The sequence below is a fragment of the Homo sapiens genome, chromosome 15 (assembly GCF_000001405.40).
Source record: "Homo sapiens chromosome 15, GRCh38.p14 Primary Assembly".
In the NCBI taxonomy this organism is placed as follows: Eukaryota; Metazoa; Chordata; class Mammalia; order Primates; family Hominidae; genus Homo; species Homo sapiens.
Window position 1 is genome coordinate 74,084,489 of NC_000015.10, and position 22,033 is coordinate 74,106,521.

Here is a 22,033-nt window from a genome sequence, read left to right on the forward strand (position 1 = left end):
TAGCCAGGCAAAGTTTTACTGTATTACTTCTTGCTTTCAATAGATATAAAGCAGAGTCCTGGTAGGCACATTTTGTATGCCTGCAAAGATGCAGAAGTAAACAGTTCCATCTATTCAATATTAAAACAAAAGTCCTGCAAACCTCGGATGGTGAGTGTAATACTTCAGCACTAGCACCAAAGCCTCAAATATAAACAGATACCAATATCACCACTAGCAAACAAAATGAGCCCTCGGCCAGGAGCAGTAGTTCACACCTGTAATCCCAACACTTTGGCAAGCCAAGGTGGGAGGATCACTTTAAGTCAGGAGTTCAAGACCAGCCTGGGCAGCATAGTGAATTCACATCTCTACAAAAAATCTTAAAAATTAGCTGGGGGTGGTGGCACACACCTGTAGTCCTAGCTACTTGGAAGGCTGATGTATGAAAACTGCTTCAGCTCAGGAGTACGACGCTGTGGTAGCTATGATCATGCCACTGCACTCCAGCCTGGGTGACAGAGCAAGATCTAGATAATTACAGTCTGTCCTGCTCCTGTTTATGTTAAAATGCTTTCAATCAGCAGGATAAAAATTAAGTGAAATGTGACTTGGGAGCTTGGCCAGAAAATAGGCAATGGAGAAACAGGCACTTCCCACAAGAATAAAAATGGCCAATAAGCACATAAAAATGATTCAAGGCCAGGGCCGTGGCTCACGCCTGTAATCCCAGCACTTTAGGAGGCCGAGGTGGGTGGATCACCTGAGGTCAAGAGTTTGAGACGGGCCTGACCAACATGGTGAAATCCCATCTCTACTAAAAAATACAAAAATTAGCCAGGCATGGCGGTGGGCACCTGTAATCCCAGCTACTCGGGAAGCTGAGGCAGGAGAATCGCTTGAACCCAGGAGGCAGAGGTTGCAGTTATCCGAGATTGCACTGTTGCACACCAGCCTGAGCCATAGAGCAAGACTCCATCTCAAAAAAAAAAAAAAGTTTCAAAAGCACTAGAAACCAAAGAAATACAATGAAAACAATGAGATTTTCTCCTTAAATATCAGCAAAGAGGACAAATGGAAACGGGATACTGGAGCTCTGCCCCTGTTGGGAGTATAAACTGAACCAATTTTTCTGCAGGATAATTTGAAAATTTCTATTAAAAATCTTAAAACTATTTTATGTTATTTTTCTCCAGAAATTCTACTTCTATGACTTCAGCCCCAAAATGCTTGCTTGCGTCCATTAAAATATATATATAAGAAAATTTACTTCTGGGGTGGCAATGATTAACTTAATACACATCGAGCTTTTAAAAAGATGATGCCAAGGATATATTTACTGCCATAGAAATATGCCCAAAACATAGTGACAAAAGACTATATATTACGATTCTACTTTTTAAAATGTTCATATGCATAAAAAAATATAAAAAGCAACAAACCAGAATGCTTTCAGTGGCAAAATTAAAGACTTTTCTTCATATTTTGTCTTCCAAATTATTACAAAAAGAATGCAATTTTCTTTATAATCAGGGAGAAGTATTATTTTCATTTATTTACATATAAATTTCTTTTCTTTTCCTTATTTCTTCTAATGTATGTATCACATGTACCCTAAGAGCTTGAATCCCTACTTCTTGAGGTAAATCAGACCATTTCTGTCTCTATCAACTTGCCTTTTTTGGACATTTCAAATCAACAGAATTATACAATATGTGGTCACATGTCTGGCTTTTTACTTAGCTAAGGTTTTTGAGGTTGGTCCATGACATATAACAGGTTTTGGTAGTTTGTTCCTTTCATTACTGAGTAGAAGTCCATTGATGGATATATACCACATTTTGTCAGCAGAGAACATTTAAACTTTGCTTTCAACTTCCCGTGGTCTAAATGAAACCGCTGGAACACAGGACTTACAGTGAAACCTGCTGTGCATGTCAAAAGAACTACTTATCAGAACCAGCTTTGTCATCAGGAGCCTGAACTGCTGCAGAAATTTTTATCATTTTGCAACTTCCTTTTTACAAGCAGCTTTTGTGCTACTACACATCAGGACTTTTGAAGCATCTGATACATCCATCTAATAAGTATGAGCATGTGTCTGAGTGGACAAGTACAACCATCTATGCTACACTGCATATTTTTTCCTCCCCCAGACTGGACCAGGGAATCTCTCAACTTTCTAGAGTATCCTGTCTCCATTGACAAAGCTGAACAGTATTAAAGATCCTGCTGCCTTTGTTAGGCAGATTTGGAAGGGAGGCCCAACAGCAAGGGTGGAGAGGAAAAAGAGAGGGGAGCTTGTGGAACAGGAAGCCCCCTGGGGTCTGCACATGGCTCCCAGCTGTTGAGGATGTTGTGGATGGGGAAGTGCTGATGGTGTCCCGAGGCAAGCCTAGCACCTGCACTGGGCCCAGAAGGTCTTGACTTTGGCCCCTTACCCACGTTCCAGAAGTGTTTACAAGCTGGTTTTGCTTTTCTTCTTTTCCCAAATAATCATTACTTGGTAGTTAGTTATTAACCTTTCTTTGGGAGAGGGACAGAGCTTTAAAACTGAAGAACATAATTTTCATTAAAATATCAAAAATGGAAAAAAGTTACTTTGTAAACAATTTGCTATACAAACCAAATGGCAGCTGTTGAGAATCTCAATAAAGTGTTAAATGCATTTGCTGCTGTTAGAAGAAATACAGTAAAAATATTTAAAATAAAGAAAAAAATTTGCTGGCAGTGGTACCATTTGCCCAAGGTTGGGTTGCTGTGTCGTCATACTGTGGTGGGGGGTATATGTGGTGTATATGTGTGAAACTCTTCATCTCAGGATGGATCATAATGTGAGCTGCAGTTTTCCTTCCAAATAGGGTTACAAAGTAGTAAAACATGGGCTTGGAAGTGACAGACCTGAGTGAATCAGCCAAGCTTAAAGAAAAACCCAATAAAATTAACTTTTAATAATCCTGACGTTGGTTTTTGAAACAATAGATACAATGATTTACTCTAAGCATCAGGTTATGATTTTGAATCAGTAATACACACTGTCTCGACCTTTTTCTTTTTTTATGGAAACAGAGGTTTCACCCAGAAAACTCCAAAACAGTGACTTTTTTTTTTTTTTTAAGACAGGGTGTCACTCTGTCGCCCAGGCTGCAGTGGAGTGGTGGATCTCAGCTCACTGCAGCCTCGACCTCCCACCTCAGCCTCCCGAGTAGCTGGGACCACAGGCACCACCGTGCCTGGCTAATTATTGTATTTTGTGTACAGACGGGGTTTTGCCATGTTGCCCAGGGTGGTCTCAGACTTCTAGGCTCCAGCCGTTCACCCACTTCAGCCTCCCAAGGTGCTGTGTGTACAGGTGCGAGCCACTGTGCCCAACCTGCATTGACTTTTTAAAACATAAGTTCAAGCATCTCTTCCTAACTCCTTTAATTGGAGGTATCTCTTCTCTCATTCTCCTCATCTTTGGTGTTCCCCCAGAGTTCACTGCTGTCTGGATGTACAACATATATTTCAAAGTCAAGGCTGGGCTGGGTGCAGTGGCTCACGCCTATAATTGCAGCACTTTGGGAGTCCAAGGCAGGCAGATCGCTTGAGTTCAGGCAAGGTAAGGCAGGCTCCCAAGGCAGAGACTGAGGCTGACCCCTGCAGCCCCCTACTGCAGGGAGGAACACCGGGATAGGCAAGGGTCTTAACCTAGAAAGCCCCAGCAGTTCCTGTGACCATTGAGGCTTGGCGGTGGTGGAACCCAGGAATGGTCTTTGAACCCACCACCTGGAAGGGGAGCCAAGGATAGTCCTGGCCCAAAGGCTCCCCTACCTGCAGGCAGTGTGGAGGCCCAGTGAGTGGACCCCAGGAGCCCAGACCATGAGCTTACCTGGCCAAAGACAGCAGCCAGCACCAAGACACGAAAGAGGGCGGGTAGAAAGATCATCACATAGGGGTTGACTGCGGCCGGCACCAGGTTCCTCTGTACTTCTGGAACACACAGGCCCCTCCTTCCTATCCCTGAAGTGCCCCTGCCCCTACCCCAGCACCCTGAAGACCAGCCCAATATATGCATTTGTCCTGGGTCAGCCCCACTGTCCAAGCAACTGCAATTTCTCACTAGAGAGCCAGGGCAGGGCAGGGTATAGGAGGGGTCCCTGGAAGATGCCCCCCAGAATGCCCTGATGCCTAAAACGTTCCCCGTTGGGCCTTCTCAGGGAGGGAGGGTTAAGACAGCCTTGTTCTCTCCAGCTACCTCCATCACCACTGGAGCCCTTACGGGCGTCAGGGGAGAGAATTGGCTCACTGGAGCCAGGAACAGCATGGACACAGCCCTGGGGCTGAGGCTAAGTGGGCTCTGGGAGACCGTCACTCTCTCTTCAAGCTTTGGTCTCCTGGCCCTCTACAAGCCAGGCTGTTTCAGGCTTTGCGTTAGGCCTTGCTCAGAGACAGAGTTGAAACACAGCTGGTGGACACAGTGGGCTTTAGGGAGGTGGCACGTACCTGGGGGTGGGGGCTGGGTAACAGGGAACGGAGGCCCTGGGGCTAGCATGGCCTGTCTGGAGGTGGCACAATGGGACCTGCACCACATGAGGACAGAGGGTCCACCTGGAGGAGTGGATCAGCCAGATGGCCACCAAGCTGGATGGCCACCGCCAGAGCCTGCAGGACAGCAGAGGGGGCTAGGAAGGGACAGAGGACAGCTGAGGGGCAGGGAATGTGGGTTCCTCCATACAGACACTTGAGTCTTCCCTAAGTGGGTCTTCCCCATGGGGGTGAGGGGGCATTCAAGACACACCTCCAGCCCACCTCAAACTATCACAGGAGGCCACCACCAACTCACACAGGCCAGTTGCATTCTCACAGTGACCCCAGAACAGCACAGCCCTGTCTTTCAGATAAATAAATGGAGAGAGTGATGCATATCACAGCCAGGAGCTGGGACTCAGACCCAGGTCCAGCTGCAGTGCTGCCTCAATGGCTCCACCTGCACCTCCTCCGGGACTCAGTTCCTGCTAACAAATGAACACTTGAGTATGGGTGAAATAGGTGCTATTATCCCTTCTGGCTGCTGGGGAAAGGGAAGCAAGGCACAGATGACTTGCCCAAGGCCAACATATCATGACTGGTTCAACCCCATCTGTCTCAGCCAGCACATCCCCATGGCAGAGGCTTTACTGTGATCCAAACCTGGAAGGTGGCACTCCTTCCAATGTCCCACCCAGGGCACAGAGCATGCAGCCCCATGTTTGGGGAGGTGACAGGGTGGGGAGGTGACAGTGTGGGAAACAATCTGGCTAGGCGAAGGCCTCATGGAGCCCAGGGTTCCCTAGGACCAGGAGAGCTCTGGAGCCCACACTGACACCCATTGGAAACCTGGAATCCACACCTGCAGGAGATCAGGAGAGGGGTTCGGCCTCCGATGCACCTGCAGCAAGGTGAGACAGGCACAGGTGGGCGCCCTGCTTCCAACCAGTGTCAGGTGGGCAGGAAGCAGATCTCCTCCCTGACCTTCCTCTCCTGCCTCCCCCAAGCAGAGGAGAAGGGGCAGCCGCCCATCAGGCCATTGCCCAGATTGAAGCCACTGAAGCTAGGTCCCAACAGGTGAGTGTGACCCCTGACTATCCCAGGCCCGGCCCAAGGCAGTCATGTCTCTGGTGAGGACCTGGTAGACAGATGTGATGTCCCCAAGTGGTTCTATAAACCTTTTGAGGATAATCAAGGAAATGGGCAAGAACATCATGCTCAGCCAAGAACCTGATAGGCACAAGGGGGACCAGGGCAGGTAAAAGTCAGTTTGGGTTCAGGCCTGGCCCCTGGAAGGATGGTGGATGAAGAGCCAGCCACGGTGAAAGGGAATGGATGGCCACGGGCTGGGTGGTCAGGACTGTCAGCTCCTGCAGCCCCTGCAGAACATCCGCCCAGGCCTGGCTCTGTGCTCAGCGTTCTGCGTGGAGCCACAGGTGCCTGGACACCGATCTCAAGTAGGGATGGTGGTAAGAAAGGTACTTGTGGCCACAGGTGGGCACCTAAGCATGGGACAGAGGGGTATCATGCCCCAAAGAAATCATAGAGGCCAAGAGCTTAAGCATATGTGACACCATCAATAAATCCCCTTGTCCTGGGTCACGTCAATTAAGTCAGAGCCTACCCTGACCCTGAAGCTGCAGCTCAGTCTGGTTGAGACACACAGAGATGTTAGTGCTGGGCAGGGGGCCTGGCCCAGCCTGCGATGTCCAGCAAAGCTGTGGGCTGGACAAGAATCTCTGAAGATTAGTCCAGGACAAGGACAGCTGTGTCTGGGCAGGGAGTGGGGGCAATGCCCAGGGGGCAGGAGACCTGAGGACCTTTAGGTAGGATGCCAGGTCAGGACGTGCAGAAGAGAAGGTGGCATGGCAGCATCCTGCCCGAGGCCAGGCTATAAACCTCGGGGCCGCCCCGTCTAGCCTAAACCATGCTGACACCCAGATGCCATCCTTCAAATGTGAGGCAGGGCTGGGAGAGCCCCCAGACCCCTCATCCCTCCCATCCCAAGCTGGTTCCCATCCCTTACCAGAAGGAAAGTGAACTCTTCTATGGGACACAGCCTGCCAGGTTCTCTATCACCTGGGGGAAGGGGCTGGGGGAAGGGAGAGCTGCAGCTGGGTGAGAAAGAACCCAGGTCCCACTCTTTCCCTATCTGACAGGTGACCTCCGGCAAGCTGCTTTCTTTGCCTGGGGCTAAGGAGAGTCACAGGGGAGCGGCCAGGTTAAGAGGGCTCCACCTTGGAGCCCAGAGCTACCCACAGAGAAAACCCCCCATCCTCCCAATTCTGCTCCCAGCTCATGCTGCTGGGATAACATCCCCCCCATCAGAGAGGCCGTGGGAGGCAGAGGCTGACCTTTGCTCCTTCAGGCCCCTCAGCGGGTTTGGGTCCACCTTCATCATGATCAGGGGGCGAGTCCCTGGGATTGCAAAGGTGAGGGACAGCTTCTTGGGCTCCAGGTGCTCCAAGGGAGACCCTGCAGGGCACCAGAGCTAGAAGAGTGTTAGGGAGGCTGGGTGCAGTGGCTCAGGCCTGTAATCTCAACACTTTGAAAGCCTGAGGTGGGCGGATCACGAGGTCAGGAGATCAAGACCACGCTGGCTAACACAGTGAAACCCCATCTCTACTAAAACTACAAAAAATTAGCCGGGTGTGGTGGCATGCACCTGTAGTTCCACCTACTTGGGAGGCTGAGGCAGGAGAATCACTTGAACCCGGGAGGCAGGGCTGAACAGTGCTAGGACCTGAGCTCTGCCTGGCCATGGTGACTCTGAGCCACGTAACCCTACGTTAGTCTCAGTCTGTCACTGTGTCTCACGGGGGATGTCAGCATTACTTTTGGAGTCAAAGTAGGTAAGCCAGGGTAACCAGAGTTCCCTGCAGGGACCAAGACCAAAGGATGCAGGGGCTGGGCCTATCCCAGAAGGTCAGGCTGGACGAGGGGCTCCATGAAGTTGGGGCAGCTGAGGGCCTGCCCTTCAGGTTACAGGCATCTGGATCCTGGTCTAGACCCTCATATGCCATCCAGAGACCCAACCCTAGGGACCCTACCCAGGCTGGTAGCAGAGAGTCGATCCTTGTACTCACCCCACCAAAAGCTCTGAAATGAGGGGGCCTATGGGTGGGGGAAAGACTCTTCAGAAAAAGGTTCTCAGGGTCAGGGAAGGTTTGAGCTGGGCCTTAGGGCAGCCAGAGAGGCAGGTGACAGGTCTCCTCACAAAGCCTGCCAGAGAATGCAGGAGGAACACAGGTGTAGTGGTGAGAGTGTTCTGGAAGACAGCAGGAAGCCTCCTACTCACTGATGGGGCTGAGTGAGGTCAGGTCCACACACCAGGAGAAGCTGGAATCCACACACTGGTGCACTTTGTTTCTTGTTTCAGAGGCAGGGTCTTGCTCTGTTGCCCAGGCTGGATTGTGGTGGTGCAATCACACCTCACTGCAGCCTGGACCTCCTGGGTTCATGCAATCTTCCCACCTTAGCCTCCTGAGTAGCTGTGACTACAGGTGCATGCCACCATGCCTAATTTTATTTTTTTCAAGACAGGGTCTGACTATGTTGCCCAGGCTGGTCTGAAGCGATCTTTCCACCTCAGCCTCCCAAAACACTGAGACTACAGGGACAAGCCAGTGCTCCTGGCCATGCTGGTGCATTTTCTGCCATGGTGCACAGGAAGTATGAGCTGGGGGGCAGAATCTGCTCCTGGACCTCTACCCAGGCCTGCACCCAGACTGACCCCTGGGCTGTAGGGAGCAGGTGTGGAGAGAATGCAGCGAGCAGTACGGGTTACCCAGTGATGGAGACCCAGGCTGGGACTAGGAGAGATAGGGCTCCAACCCTCAGCCTAGTGGCCCTGCCCAACCCCTTGGCGCCAAGATGACTTTCTAGGAAGCCAGGCATGGAGGCCAGCATGCACCTGAACTGAGGACAGAAGATTCTGATGAGAGGGAGGGGGAGGCCTCTGACATAGTTTGGATACTTGTCCCATCCACATCTCGTGTTGAAATGTGATCCCCAATGCTGGAGATGGGGCCTATAGTGTGAGGTGTTTGGGTCATGGTGGGGGATCCCTCATGAATGGCTTAGTGCCCTCCCCATGGTAATGAGTGAGTTTTCTTATTTTTTATTTTTTTATTTTTTGAGGCAGAGTCTCGCTCATAGCCCAGGCTGGAGTGCAGTGGCATGATCTTGGCTCACTGCAACCTCCACTTCCCAGGTTCAAGTGATTCAATGAGTGAGTTTTCTATTAGTTCACAGGAGAGCTTGATGCCTCCTCTCTCTTGCTTATTCTCTCACCATGCGACATGTCTGCTCCCTCTTTGCCTCACACTAGAAGTAAAAGCTTCCTGAGGCTTCACCAGAAGCCTAGCAGATGCTTGTACAGCCTACAGAACTGTGAGGCAAATAAACCTCTTTTATAAATTACCAGTCTCAGTGCCAGGAGTGGTGGCTCATGCCTGTAATCCCAATATTTTGGGAGGCTGAGGCGGGTGAATCACTTGAGGTCAGGAGTTCAAGGCCAGCCTGACCAACCTGGTGAAACCCTGTCTACTAAAAATACAAAATTAGGCGGGCATGGTGGTGCGTGCCTGTAATCCAAGCTACTTGGGAGGCTGAGGCATGAAAATTGCTTGAACTGGGAGGCAGAGGTTGCAATGAGTTGAGATCACAACATTGCACTCTAGCCTGGGCCACAACAGCGAAACTCCATTTCAAAACCCTGTCTCTACTAAAGATACAAAAAATTAGCCAGGCATGGTGGTGCATGGCTGTAATTCCAGCTACTCAGGAGGCTGAGGCAGGAGAGTAGCCTGAACCCAGGAGGCAGAGGTTGCAGTGCCCTGAGATTGTGCCACTGTACTCTAGCCTGGGCGACAGAGCTAGACTTCATCTCAAAAATAAATAAATAAGCCAGTCTCAAGTATTCCTCTAGAGCAATGCAAAGCGGACTAATATAATGTCTACTGGACCTGACACTCAGGGAAGGGCTGGTCTTTACTCTGCCATTAACAGCCAGACTATGACAGAGTTGTTCCCCTGCTCTGCCTCAGTTTGTCCTCTCTCAGCTGAGCAGAGCAGGGATAATTGCTTCTCATGTGGGCCACAGGACAAAACAAAGCCCTGAGTCCCACAGGAAGATAGGTGGGCTATGTCCAAGGGAAGACAGAAGTGGGGCAGTATTTTATGTCCCCAGGGTGGCAGAGGGACATGGAAAAGATGCCTCCTTTGTGGACAAAGGAGAAAGGAAGATAAGCAGAGAGGCGCCAGACACCCGCCTCACCCCCACCTCCCCCACCCCACACCAGGCCCATTCCCACTCAGCCCCCAACTCAGGCTGCACCATTCCCCTTACGGTCAGCATGACTTCCCAGCCAAGCTGACAGAAGCTGACAGCTTGGATTCATCAGGGACAGCGCGTAGTGTAGGTGATGTGCAGGATGGAAGTGGAGAGGGGAGACGGGAGCCGTGGTGTCAGGTCTGGGGCTGCCAACATGGTACCTGCCCTGGCCGTGGGCAGACCATGCTGGTCCACCCTGCCAGATGTGGCCTCTAATTCTAAGGTCTCTGAGTTCCAGGCCAGGACTGGAGCCATACTCCCCTTGGGGACAGGGGACACAGTACACATAGACATTACTTGTGCTTTGGGCAAAGCCAGCTGGACAAATGAATGAAAGGGGCCCTGCTGGAGGGTAAAACTGGGCCTGGACTACTCAGACCTGCCTCTGTGACAGGACGGTCCCATCCTTCCAATCAGACTCCTGAGCTGGAAGCCTACCCAGCCAGGGAGTGGGGAAGGGGTGGCCTGCAGTCTCCCTTGAGTCTGTAGCCCCTCCCACCCAAGTCAGCTCCATAAAAAAAGATGCAGAAACCCCAAGTGCTCCTCCCAGCTGCTGGCTGCTTCCCGGCATGGCCTGAAGGACCCTGGATGAATCAAGACAGGCCTGCCAGCAGCTGGGGGAAGGGGGAAAGCTGGGTCCCCAGGGTGGATGCCTAGCAGGAACGTGCAGGCATGGCGAGTGATGGGCCCTCAGGGCTGAGCCCCTTCTGCCCAGGGGACCTTGGTGACACACCTGCTGCTGAGCTCAGCCCAAGGAGTAAGAGCCTGGTGCCAAGTGGCCTCTCTGCTTATGAAGACAGTCCTGGGATTGTTACCCCTCTGCCCAGGGCTCAAGTATCCAGGCTGGGGAAGGGCCAGCAGTCAGAAAGAAGGAGGCCGTGGGTGTGGGTCCCCTAGCAGTCAGGGGCCTTGGTGGACTAAGCCCCTATGAGGGGGATGAGAGGGAAGGGAGACTGAGCTGTACCCCCTACCCTGAGATCTGTGGTACCAGGCTCCAGAGGGGGCCCCGGGGGGAGACCAGCATGACAGGAACTGCTACGATGCCTTTGGGCACCTACTCTGCAGGGCTGGGCCAGCCTGAGGTTGGCAGCAGAGGGGTGGGCCAGGGGCCACAAGGAATGAAGCTTTGTTTGGTAGAGCTGTGACCCTCTTCATCCTCTTCTGACCCCCCAGCTGACCCTTGTCCTCAGATCTCTGCAGAACTTTGACCAAGCGGTGGTGGAGGAATTCCAGTGGGTCCGGGGTGGCCCTGGGTGACCCAGGGCTCATACCGGGGTTCTGGGGTTGAGGACAGGAGGCTGGAAGAGATGACCTCCCCTAGTCCCCCAAGGCTGCACAGACCCCTGAAGTCTGTGATAATCCTCTCAGCAGGCTGGACCCACTGACCGCCAGAGTGGGTGCCACCTTCTTCAGGGTGGCGCCAGCCCAGGCCGTCATGTGGCACTGTGCACGCCAGGGCCTGCACACCCTGTGGGAGGCAGCGGGCGTCTTGGTAGACACGGTCATCCTAGACCTCGGTCAGTACCTCCTTCCCTCTGCAGGCTGCCTCCCTCTGTCCCTCTGCCTCCTCCCTTGGGCTCGCTGCCTCCACATGCCCTGATCTGAAGCCTGCCTCCCCTCCTCATGGAGCCCTCTAAGGTGCTCCTAGCCCCAGCTCTCTGGTCCCGCAGCAACTTCTGGGCCCAGATTCTGTCTTCTCAGAAGTCTGAGAGGCAGAGCCCCGCCTGGCCATAGCCTTCTTGCTCTGCTCTAGGCAGTCCTAGCCCCAAAGCCTCCAGCCTGCTGGATGCCTTTATCTCCAGCTATGCCATGGCTCTCCTCATCCTGGGCCTCCTGCTCATCACAGTTGCCCTTGTCCTGGTGAGTGTCTGGCTTGGCCAGGGCTCCTTCCTGAGTGGCAGGCTGAGCCTTTGACGCCTTGAGCCTTTGAGCCAAGCTGAGGGGTGAGCAGGCCCCTTTACACCCCTGATTTCCCCATCCAAGCCCAGCGTCTCCTCATCCTCCAGCTGGGGCCGTGGGATTTGGGGCCAAAGAGTTGGGCCTGATCCCAGTGTCCCCGCCCTTCTTGTCAAGGTGCTAAACTTGAGGGCATGCCTTGGGTGCTGACTTTCCCAGGAACTCAGAGCCAGAGAGGGCCAGGCACCAGCCTGAGGCCAAACAGCCAGGGGCTTCTTCCTTCCTAGACCCCCAAGGACTGGACTTGCAGGGCTGGGACAGAGGTGGGGTGGGGGAAAGCAATGCCTTGTCAACCCATGCAGGGAGCCCCACTCCCATCCCCAAGGTGCACAAAGTCGAGAAACACCCCTGTTCCCATGTCCATGCTCACTCAGGGCCCTGCTCCAAGTGCTTGGCACTCACACCAGCCTCCTGTCCTCCATGCCACAGGTATCGGTCTCATTTACAGAGGGGGAAATGGTGGCCAAAAGCCTCCCCCAGCACACACGGCTAGACCACACAGAGGTCTTAGGTGCAGCTGAGGGGTCCACAGTCTCTGCTGTCCCTTCTGCCACTCGTGCTGCCAGGGACCACGCTTTGGAGAGGGAGGAATGAGAGTGAGCTGGGTGCTCACACATGGGGCACGGGGGACTAAGGAAGGGTCAGCCAGGAGGAAAGGGCAAGGTCTGATCCTGTACGTACACATCACAGAGCGCGCGGGGTCAGGAGACCGAGGGCCACGTCCCGGCTCTGCGGCTGCTCGGTATGTGACTGCGGTTAAATTGTCTCCCTGGACTCTCCACGCACTTTGTGTGCTGCGTGCACCTTCTAGGATGAGCCCGGACCCTGGCTGGCCTCATACTTACTGCGTAGGCTGCAGACCCGCAAGTGCTTCTGCAAGGGGCTTTGCTTCTCCTCATAACAGCAGCACGGGCTGGCCGCGTGCTCTGGGGGTAGAATGGAGAAGCTCTGGAGGTAGCAGGTGGGGGCTGGGCTTGGGCTCCTGGCCCAGACAGGGCAGGGTACACCTCAGGGTCACAGGGCCTGGCCCACTCTCTAGCAGCCCTTGGCCCACAGGCTGCCCAGCTGCCCACCCACAACCCGTACCTTTGGGCAGCCCCAGCTGCTGCAGTTCACTGGCCAAGGATTTGCCATCGACACTGTGCTTGGCCGCACCGGAGAGGATGAAACTCAGCACTGCCACTGTGGCCTTCACATCGCCTGACTCTCAGGGACCCATGCATGGGACAGGGGGTGTCACTGTGGGCCCAGCCACCTCCCTGTTGCCCTATTAACTTCAGCTCAAAGCCCCCAGGCCTCCTGGAGCCATAGGCACTGCTACTGCTCCACCAGGAGCTGGCAGAGGACAGGAAGGTGGGACTGTCAATGTCTTTCTTTCCCTCATGCTCCTCCACTAGGGAAGGCAGGTTAAGGATACTGCTGGGATGTGTGTGTTGGCGGGGGGGTGGGGGGCGGGCTCTGTACCAGGCACCAGGCCGAGGTCCCAGGGTTGCCTGGGGCCTGTGAACTCAGCGGGGTGCTCACCAAACTTGGCATCAGCTGTGAGTTTCAGGATCTTCTTATACTATGGGGAAAGGAGACCTTCAGGGGGTGCCAGGTCCCTGCTCACCAGCCCCTCACCCCCAGCCTGGATCCTGCAATAAGGAACAGACAGGCTGGAAAGAAGGAAGGGAGGTACCCAGAGAGGTTGAGAGGCTGGCTCACCCGTCTCCCCGGGCCTAGTGCAGAGTTTCAGGGCAGTGGTGGTCATAAGGTCATGGGACAATGGGGTGCTGGATCTTGTACTCACATCAATTCCCTGTCCCAGCAGCTCCTTTAGTACCTGGCTGCAGAGCAGCTGCAACTTCACAGAGGACTGGAAAGGAAGTCCTTACATCAGCCAGGCTGGCAAACCTCACCCCTTCTTCCTGGGGACTGGCTCAAAGCAGGCCAGCCACTGATCAAGGTCACAAAGCATGGTAGCACAGGCTGAGAGCACTGAGGCCCTAGCCCCAGAGAAACCTCACCATCCTCTACAGCCACAATCCCCAGCCCAACACCCCTCCTCCACCCAGTGTAGACCCTGTGCACTCAACCATCTTGGCCAGCGTGCTGATCTCTGCCAGGACCCGGTCAGGACAGTCCAGATCACCACAGAACCGAAACCTCTGCAAGGGAGGGAGGCAGGTAATCAGGCTGGAAAGAAGACTGAGGTGTGGCCAGGATCCCTGTGTCTCCCACACTGCTGCCCAGCAGGGACCCCTGGTCCCCGACATAGATGGATACCCTCTGGCCACTTGTTCTCCCCTATCACCAGGCTGTTGAGTAAACTCTACCTGACCCACCCTGCCACCAAACCCTGCTCTGAGGTCTACTCCAGGCATTCATCTGCTCAGCAAACATCAATTGAGCACCTTCTCTGTGCTAGCTCCCACTCTAAGTGCTGGGGGTACAGCATGGGATAAAACAAAGTCCTGGGCCTCACAGAGACGAGTGAACTCTCTCCCTTCTTCCCCATACCCACACAACTCCAGCCACTCCAGCTTCCCTGCTGCAGCTCAGGGACACCAGCCTTGCTTCCGCTGCACTCTCTATGTGGCTTGCTATCCTTTATTTCATTCCACTCTCTGCTCAAGTGACACCTCATCAGACCAGCCCTTCTTTTTTTTTTTTTTTTTAAAGACGGAGTCTCGCTCTGTTGCCCAGGCTGGAGTGCAATGGCACAATCTCGGCTCACTGCAACCTCCACCTCCCGGGTTCAAGCAATTCTCCTGCCTCAGCCTCCCAAGTAGCTGGGACTACAGGCATGCGTCACCACACCCAACTTTTTTGTATTTTTGGTAAAGACAGGGTTTCACTGTGTTGGCCATGCTAATCTCGAACTCCTGACCTCAGGTCATCTGCACACTTTGGCCTCTCAAAGTGCTGGGATTACAGGCGTGAGCCACTCCACCCTGGCAGGCCAGCCCTTCTTGATCATACTTCCTAAAACAGCCCCTAACACAAGGAAATTTTGGGGGCCGGTGGATATATTCGTTATCTTGATTGTGGTGATCCAACAGTCAGGAAGATTTGGCCTTTACTTGTCCAGACTCATCTTTCCCTAACCTCCAGATGATACTCTCCCAGCTATGGGAAATGCATTCATTCCTGGGGAGCCATGCTCTCTCTCACCTGAAGTCTCTGCACATGCTGTTCCCTGTCTGAAGACACACGCCTCCCACCGTTGCCTCCCAACCCCTGGTACACAAACTGTACTTCAGCCAGCCAACTCCTGCCATCGCCTTTAAGGTTGAAGGCATCCTCAGGAAGCCCCCTTAGCACTACACACAAGGCGCAGTTAGGTCTCTGCCCCTGGAGCCTTAACTATGACTGCCAATTCAAGCCTCTGATTTCCCCTTCCCGCGGCAGCTCAAGTCCTCCCAGTGCCTAGTACAATTCATGGTATAGACTAGGCACTTTGAACCTATGGATGGATGGATTGGATGAATGGATGGATAAGTATCAGCCCCAAAACTACTACTTTCTGGATCTGAAAAGAGCGGAGTGGCTTCCTAACAGTGTGCAAGAGTGAGCCTGATTCTAGCACTTTCCTGTCCAAGTCCCACAGCAGGGCTGGGGAAGGGGGTGTCCTTGGGAGGTCCTTTTGGAGCTAGAGAAGACCTGAAAGGACTCCCAGCTCCAGACAAGCCCTAGTTCCTGCCCCAGGAGTCAGGGGCCCTTCCTTCCGCCAGGGAAGCAGGGAACTCTAAGCCGGCCGGCCTGCTCTGTCTTACCCGCCCCATTCGGGAGAGGGATGGCGGTGGACTTTTCTCTACCAGACCTGCTGCCCTGACGCCCGCACACACTGTGTTTGCGGAGCGGCCAGTGCAGACAACCTCAACCCGTTTCCGGAGCCACTGGCGCCCCCTCATTCCCGCTCCAGCAGCCCATGCCCGCTTCACCCCTGGTGCCTCATACATCGCGCGAGGAAGCCAGGGCCCGGGAATTTCTTTTTCCGGTCCCGCCAGGTCAGCTGAGTCGACGATCACGTGACTTGGACTAACGGCCTCTGGCGGGGCGGGACCTGCTCGAGTGAGGCCGGGAGCGGACCGCAGCCCGCTGGAGGTGCCGGGGGCGAAATGCTGGCGTCTGCTCCTCCGTCTCCCAGAATCCTGCCCTGGAAAAAACCAGCGCCAACCGCCGGTTTAACTGAGGACGGATTTAAGGCATTACGAAAGACAGTGGAAGTTATTTCTTTTACTTTTATTTTCGTTAACTTAAGGGGGTAGGATCCCGGGAGCCAGGGAGATTCAGGTCATTGCCATGTTTTCCACTGTTAAGCGAATAGCATTATACACAGCTGCGGGCTGTGGCAAAAAACATTTTAAAAACTTTTCAAATATATTACACATACAGAAAATTGTACCTATTAGAAATATAAAGCTTAATAAGTTTTCATCAACTGTAGACCTCACATAACCAGCACCCAGATAAGGAAATAACCAGGTAACTTCTTCAAGTGCATGGGTATTTTATTTCATTTTGATGAATCGTCTAGGTGCCTAGTAAAAAGGGCTGTCATAATTAACATGCTCAGGAAAAACTCCCCACAGCTTCAACATCACTAGATCTTATCTTAATTTTTGCCAGTCTGATGGGTAAAAAAAAAATCGGTTGCTTAGATTGCAGTGGTAGTCTGATTACTGGTAGCTTTGAGCTAATGGGTAGTCTAGAACAACTAAGTTTCCGACGTTGACTTGAAGAGGCAAAAACAAAAAGACAAAACAACAACAAAAATACATTAAAGAATAAACTAATAACCAAAGAAGAAATTGAATACAGTCGTCGCTTAGTAACCTCAAGATACTGGTTCCAGGACCCCAGAGATACCAAAATTCACAGATGCTCAAGTTCCTGATATAATGTGGCATAGTATTTGCATATAACCTATGCACATCCTTCCGTATACTTTAAATCATCTCTAGATTGCTATAATACCTAATACAACATAAATGCTTTGTAAATAGCTGATATAAAGTATTTTTAAATTTTTGTGTTTTTTTATTGTTTTACTTTTTCCAAATATTTTTGATGCACAGTTGGTTAAATCCAAGGACCCAGAACCCGAGGATACAGAAGGCTGACCATAGTTTGAGCTCTCTCCTCAATTCCATGCCTATCCCATGCACCAGGTGCAGCTGGTTTTATTGTTGCAGGCTTTCAAGTTTTCAAAAGACAGACCTCATGACAAGTAAACTGCTCTATAGAATAGAAATAGAAAGTGTCCCAATTCATGGTAAAATTGAACTCATTTCTGAAGAGTTATTTTACAAATCATAAGCACTATCCTCTTGAAAGCAACAGTGTGTTAAGTTACTAGACTATCCTATACCATGTCAAAGAAAAATTTTAAGAACATAAGACCTGTAATCATAGCACTTTGGGAGGCCAAGGCCAGTGGATCGCTTGAGCCCAGGAGTTCTAGACCAGCTTGGGCAACATAGGGAGACCCCAGTCTCTACAAAAAATTAGCTGCTTGTGCTGGTGCACACGTGTCATCCCATCTACCTAAGAGGCTGAGATGGGAGGATCTCTTGAGCATGGGAGGTGGAGGCTGCAGTGAGCCATGATGGCGCCACTGTACTCCATCCAGCCTGAGCAACAGAATGAGACCATCTCAAAACAAAAAAAGGAAAAGAAAAAAAGCTGGGTGCGGTGGCTCATGCCTGTAATCCTAGCACTTTGGGAGGCCGAGGCAGGCAGATCACCTGAGGTCAGGAGTTGGAGACCAGTGTGGCCAACATGGCAAAACCCGTCTCTACTGTAAATAAATAAATACAAATTAGCTGGGCATGGTGCTGGGTGCCTGTAATCCCAGCCTCAGGAGACTGAGTCACAAGAATCGCTTGAACCCGGGAGGTGGGGGTTGCAGTGAGCCGAGATTGCACCACTGCATTTCAGTCAACTTGAGCAACAAGGTGAGAAAAAAAAAAAAAGATGTAGGAATGGTTCAACTTTTATTTCATGCTGTCAGTAGGTTAAAGAAGAGAAAAATGGATAGTTTTGGGACCATTTTTTATTTAAAAAGAAAATTAGGAACAGATGAAAACTGTCTTATCTTAAGAGTATTTGAAAAACAAAACAGCAAATTTAACATTAGACAGACAAAATATTTAAATTCAGAAATAAAGTTAAAAGGTGGGTGGTGCGCCCTTTTAATGTCATACTGAGCATTGTTTCATAGATACTTGTTTTACTATTAAAGATTGACTATTTAGAGCAGTGTTTCTCAAACATTAGAGTGCATCCTAATCACTTGCAAGGCTTGTGAAATGGGCTGCTGGGCCCCACACCAGAGTTTCTAACTCAATAGGACTGAGGTGGGGCCTGAGCATTGCATGTCTGTGTTCCCAGGTGACACTGGTGCTTCCAATTTGAGACCATGGTTTGAAAACCACTAATGTAGGGAAATATACTAGAGAATATGTTATGAATATATGTGAGAATATGTATATATGTTAACGTACAGATTTCAGTACAGTAGAAAAGATAACTCCCAAAGATGACAGTTTTATTTCCCAATAGGATTTTTTTTTTTGAGTCAGAATCTTGCTCTGTTGTCCAGGCTGGAGTGCAGTGGCATGATCTTGGCTCACTACAGCCTTCACCTCCCAGTTCAAGCAATTCTCCTGCCTCAGCCTTCTGAGTAGCTGGGACTACAAGCACCCACCATTGCGCCTGGCTAATTTTTGTATTTTTAGTAGAGACAGGGTTTCACCATGTTGGCCAGGCTGGTCTTGAACTCCTGACCTCAGGTGATCCACCCACCTCAGCCTCCCAAAGTGCTGGGATTACAGGCCTGAGCCACCACGCCCGGCCTCCCTTTAGGATATTAACAAGTTTTGTCTCTATCTCAGAATGCATTTCGGAATGCCCTTCCTGGAGCACTACAGACACTGTCTCTCAAAACGCTCCTTGAACTAGCTTCACCGTGTTGCTGACTCCCTTGTAAATTAAAGAAAATATCTTATACGTATTCCTTCATTATTTGTATGAAAGTCAAGCTTTTCATATTGTGAAAATTATACTTCAGGCTGGGTGCAGTGGCTGATGCCTATAATCCCAGGACTTCTGGAGGCTGAAGTGGCTGGATCACTCGAGGCCAGGAGTTTGACACCAGCCTAGCCAACATGTCGAACCCCATGTGTACTAAAAACAAAATCAAAATTAGCTGGGCATTGGTGGCACACACCTGTAGTTCCAGCTGCTCGGGAGGCTGAGGCACAAGAATTGCTTGAACCCAGGAGGCTGAGGCTGCAGTGAGCCAAGGTTGCCATGAGCTGATATTGTGCCACTGCACTCCAGCCAGAGCCAGAGTGAGACTCTGTCCCAAAGAAAAAAAAGAAAGAAAATTATACTTTGATACAGTATGCTAATATAAAGGATATGATATGGCTTGGTTCTGTGTCCCCATCCAAATCTCACCTTGAATTGCAATAATCCCCACATGTCAAGGGTGGGACCAGGTGGAGATAATTGAATCATGGGGGTGGTTTCTCCCATGCTGTTCTCATGATAGTAAGTGAGTTCTCACCAGATCTGATGATTTTATTACAGGCTTTCCCCTTTGCTCGGCTCTCCTTCTCTCTCCTGCTGCCCTGTGAAGAGGTGTCTTCTGCCATAATTGTAAGTTTCCTGAGGCCTCCCCGGCCATGCAGAACTGTGAGTCAATTTAAACCTCTTTTCTTTATAAATTACCCAGTCTTGGGTATTTCTTCATAGCAGCATGAGAATGGACTAATACAGTGTACTAATAACAGCCCAGACAGTAGTATACAGGTACTACTATACTTTGATGCTAGAGGTATTCCCATTAAGGTCAGGAGCAGTATGTGCTATCATTACCATGATCTAACATTGTTCCAGAGGGTTTTAGGTCAGCAGTTCTCAACTGGAGGTGATTTTGCCGCCCTGGGGATATTTGACAATATCTGAAATCACTTTGGCTGTCACACTGAGGAGTGCTGCTGGCATGTGGCAGGCGGAGGCTGGGGATGCTGCTAAACATCCTGCGAGGCGCAAACAGCTCCAGAACAGAGAACTGTCCAGCCCTAAACATCAACAGTGCTGCTGTGGAGAAAGCCTGGTCTAGACAAATAAAACATGGGAAATCCATTAACATAAATGTGGGTGGATAATAAACTGGTATTTGCCAATGGCAGTCTAGCTAGGAGGTCCAAAAGGAGCACCTGAAGAACAGTTAGATTTTGCAGGGGCTGCATGGTGGCTCATGCCTGTAACCCCAGTGCATTGTGAGGTCACATTGGGAGGATCTCTTGAGGCCAGGAGTTCAAGACCAGCCTGGGCAACATAGTGAGACCACATCTCTACTAAAAATTAAAACATCAGCCAGATGTGGTGCTGCGCTCTGATAGTCCCAGCTGCTGAGGTGGGAGTATCGCTTGAGCCCAGGAGTTGGAGGCTATGGTGAGCTGTGATCATGCCACTGTACTCAAAAAAAAAAATTTTTTTTCTCTGTTGCATATGGGGTCTTGCTATGTTGCCCAGGCTGTTCTCAAACTCCTGGCCTCAATCAGTCTTCCTGCCTCAGCCTCCGAAAGCGTTGAGATTACAGGCGTGAGCCACTGCCCCTGGCCTTACAAAATAAAAATTAAAAAAAGAAGTTACAGGATGTTATGTGGCCCGTTGAAAGATGTTGGAAAACAGTTGCGCATGTGACCCCGCTATAACCAGTTATAAAAGTATCAGGATTAAGAAATGTACTGCATCTGGCTTTCCCAAGTTTAGGATCCTGCTGAAAGAATGAGATGGATCTTTTCTTCCTCCGCTCCTCACCTCCCTGCAAGAACCAGGACTGTGCATTTTGACGGGCAGGCTCTTACCCCTGGCAGGCCACAGGGGGCATGCAAAGCATTTCCGTGTGTGTTTTCTGAGTACTCGGATAAAGACCCCTGTCCAGGCCTTTGTTTAGGATATTTGGCCCATGGAGGAATGAGGGTGGAATCACCTGGGAGGGGCAGAGGCTTCGAATGGAAGGAGGAGTGACCTGAGCTCCAGGTTCTGGGCCTACACTTTGTTCCCATGCAGCACCCCATTAGTGGTGACTGGGGCCTGGAAGTCAGGGACCTTGGTGGCCAAGTGTTAGGTGGACAGGAGGAGCTGAGGGAGGTGAGGGGCATCTCTCCAGGACCGCCCCCCGCCCCGTCCCCAAATCAATGCCCTCTGATGGCTCAGACATAGCCCCGGCCAGCAGCAGTGTGGGTCAGGAAGGGCGAATGCAGTCAGCACGGATCTGCTCCATAGTCTCCACCTCACTTCATCTCAGTTTGGAAGGTGTGAGTCCCCGCAGCACTGATAGGATATCCTGTCAGCTGAGAACATTCAGCTTGATTTAGAAAGATAAGGTGGGACATCTCTTGGGCATGGCATGTGGAGCAGTGCCATCCCTCTGTGGCAGCGAGCCAAGCAATAAACCAGAATGTGCAAAGCCTGCGTCCCAGAATCACCATTCCTGGAGGAAAAGCCTATATTGTCAAGATGCCCACTCCTCAGTTAACCCAAACATTCCACCCAGCCTCGAAAACCAGTAGAACTTTGACATTAATATACTAACCCTCAAGTCTATACAGAAATGTGTAAGAATAGCCACATACTGTAATGTGCGGTCATTGAGAGAGAGGAGGCCGTCAGAACAAATGGAACCAAGTCTAGAAACATGTCTGTCTAGGCGCAAGATTCCAGCATGTGTGTCAGCCAGGGAAGCAGACCAGGAGGAGATATTTATTAAGATTTAAAACCGGGCTCCATGGCTCAGGCCTATAATTACAATACTTTGTGAGGCTGAGGTGGGAGGATCACTTGAGCCCAGGAGTTTGAGGCTGCAGTGAGCTATGATCGTGCCACTGAATTGCAGCCTGGATGACAGAGCAAGACCCCGTCTCAAGAAAAGTGCTCAGATGCACCCTTACATGAAGCCACCTTGGGTACAGCTTCCAAGACTGGTGAGGCCTTACTCAGGACCAGGGGGCCCAGCCCTAGCTCAGCTTCTACCACCTGAGTGGCACCTGGAGGTGGTCACAGTGTCCTCAGTCCAGTCTCTGTTGGGTTTCAGATCCCCTGATCATCATGCCTTTTTTGCCCAAGCTCTGCCTCATTATGGCCTTCAATGACCGCAGCCTCTTCCACCTCCCCAAAGGGACCCCTGCTCATGCTCTCCAGCCCACAGGAGTGCCTGCTTCTCCAGGAAGCCCATCCTGTTGGCTCTGGGCTCTA

The 22,033-nt window shown here is 51.3% G+C and overlaps 1 protein-coding gene, 1 long non-coding RNA gene and 1 pseudogene across 4 annotated transcripts in view, besides 5 other annotated features; 1 reads left to right on the forward strand and 2 right to left on the reverse strand.

Annotated features, from left to right (window-relative positions):
- Window positions 1,771-2,480: an enhancer, noted in NCBI's record as "OCT4-NANOG hESC enhancer chr15:74378600-74379309 (GRCh37/hg19 assembly coordinates)". NCBI's record gives its function as "activates a minimal SCP1, AML or CMV promoter by ChIP-STARR-seq in naive H9 embryonic stem cells {active_cell/tissue: H9 hESC(naive)}" and the evidence as "EXISTENCE:reporter gene assay evidence [ECO:0000049][PMID:30033119]".
- LOC107987224 (uncharacterized) lies at window positions 3,958-7,064 on the reverse strand. The gene is made up of 3 exons (XR_001751605.1): window positions 6,843-7,064; window positions 5,351-5,389; window positions 3,958-4,973 (listed from the first exon to the last, which is right to left on the reverse strand). It is a non-coding gene; the product is annotated as an uncharacterized LOC107987224 (long non-coding RNA).
- Window positions 6,468-7,268: an enhancer, noted in NCBI's record as "H3K27ac hESC enhancer chr15:74383297-74384097 (GRCh37/hg19 assembly coordinates)". NCBI's record gives its function as "activates a minimal SCP1, AML or CMV promoter by ChIP-STARR-seq in naive H9 embryonic stem cells {active_cell/tissue: H9 hESC(naive)}" and the evidence as "EXISTENCE:reporter gene assay evidence [ECO:0000049][PMID:30033119]".
- Window positions 9,429-9,945: an enhancer, noted in NCBI's record as "H3K4me1 hESC enhancer chr15:74386258-74386774 (GRCh37/hg19 assembly coordinates)". NCBI's record gives its function as "activates a minimal SCP1, AML or CMV promoter by ChIP-STARR-seq in naive H9 embryonic stem cells {active_cell/tissue: H9 hESC(naive)}" and the evidence as "EXISTENCE:reporter gene assay evidence [ECO:0000049][PMID:30033119]".
- Window positions 12,238-12,829: an enhancer, noted in NCBI's record as "H3K4me1 hESC enhancer chr15:74389067-74389658 (GRCh37/hg19 assembly coordinates)". NCBI's record gives its function as "activates a minimal SCP1, AML or CMV promoter by ChIP-STARR-seq in primed H9 embryonic stem cells {active_cell/tissue: H9 hESC(primed)}" and the evidence as "EXISTENCE:reporter gene assay evidence [ECO:0000049][PMID:30033119]".
- Window positions 12,625-15,718, reverse strand: COMMD4P2 (COMM domain containing 4 pseudogene 2; annotated as a pseudogene). The gene is made up of 5 exons (NR_160652.1): window positions 15,535-15,718; window positions 13,855-13,926; window positions 13,304-13,343; window positions 12,866-12,983; window positions 12,625-12,705 (listed from the first exon to the last, which is right to left on the reverse strand). The product of NR_160652.1 is annotated as a COMM domain containing 4 pseudogene 2 (transcript).
- Window positions 15,668-15,767: an enhancer, noted in NCBI's record as "active region_9741". NCBI's record gives its function as "activates an Ori minimal core promoter by ATAC-STARR-seq in GM12878 lymphoblastoid cells {active_cell/tissue: GM12878}" and the evidence as "EXISTENCE:reporter gene assay evidence [ECO:0000049][PMID:35858748]".
- The window catches only part of ISLR2 (immunoglobulin superfamily containing leucine rich repeat 2), a 41,509-nt gene continuing 35,305 nt past the window's right edge, over window positions 15,830-22,033 (forward strand). The window contains exons 1-2 of one of the 2 annotated variants that reach the window (XM_024450003.2): window positions 15,830-15,981; window positions 19,358-19,426. The gene's annotated coding sequence lies outside the window, so the exon portion shown is untranslated. Of the gene's footprint in view, window positions 15,982-16,099; window positions 16,247-19,357; window positions 19,427-22,033 lie in introns of those variants that run through there. The other variant, XM_024450004.2, reaches the window with a different exon arrangement.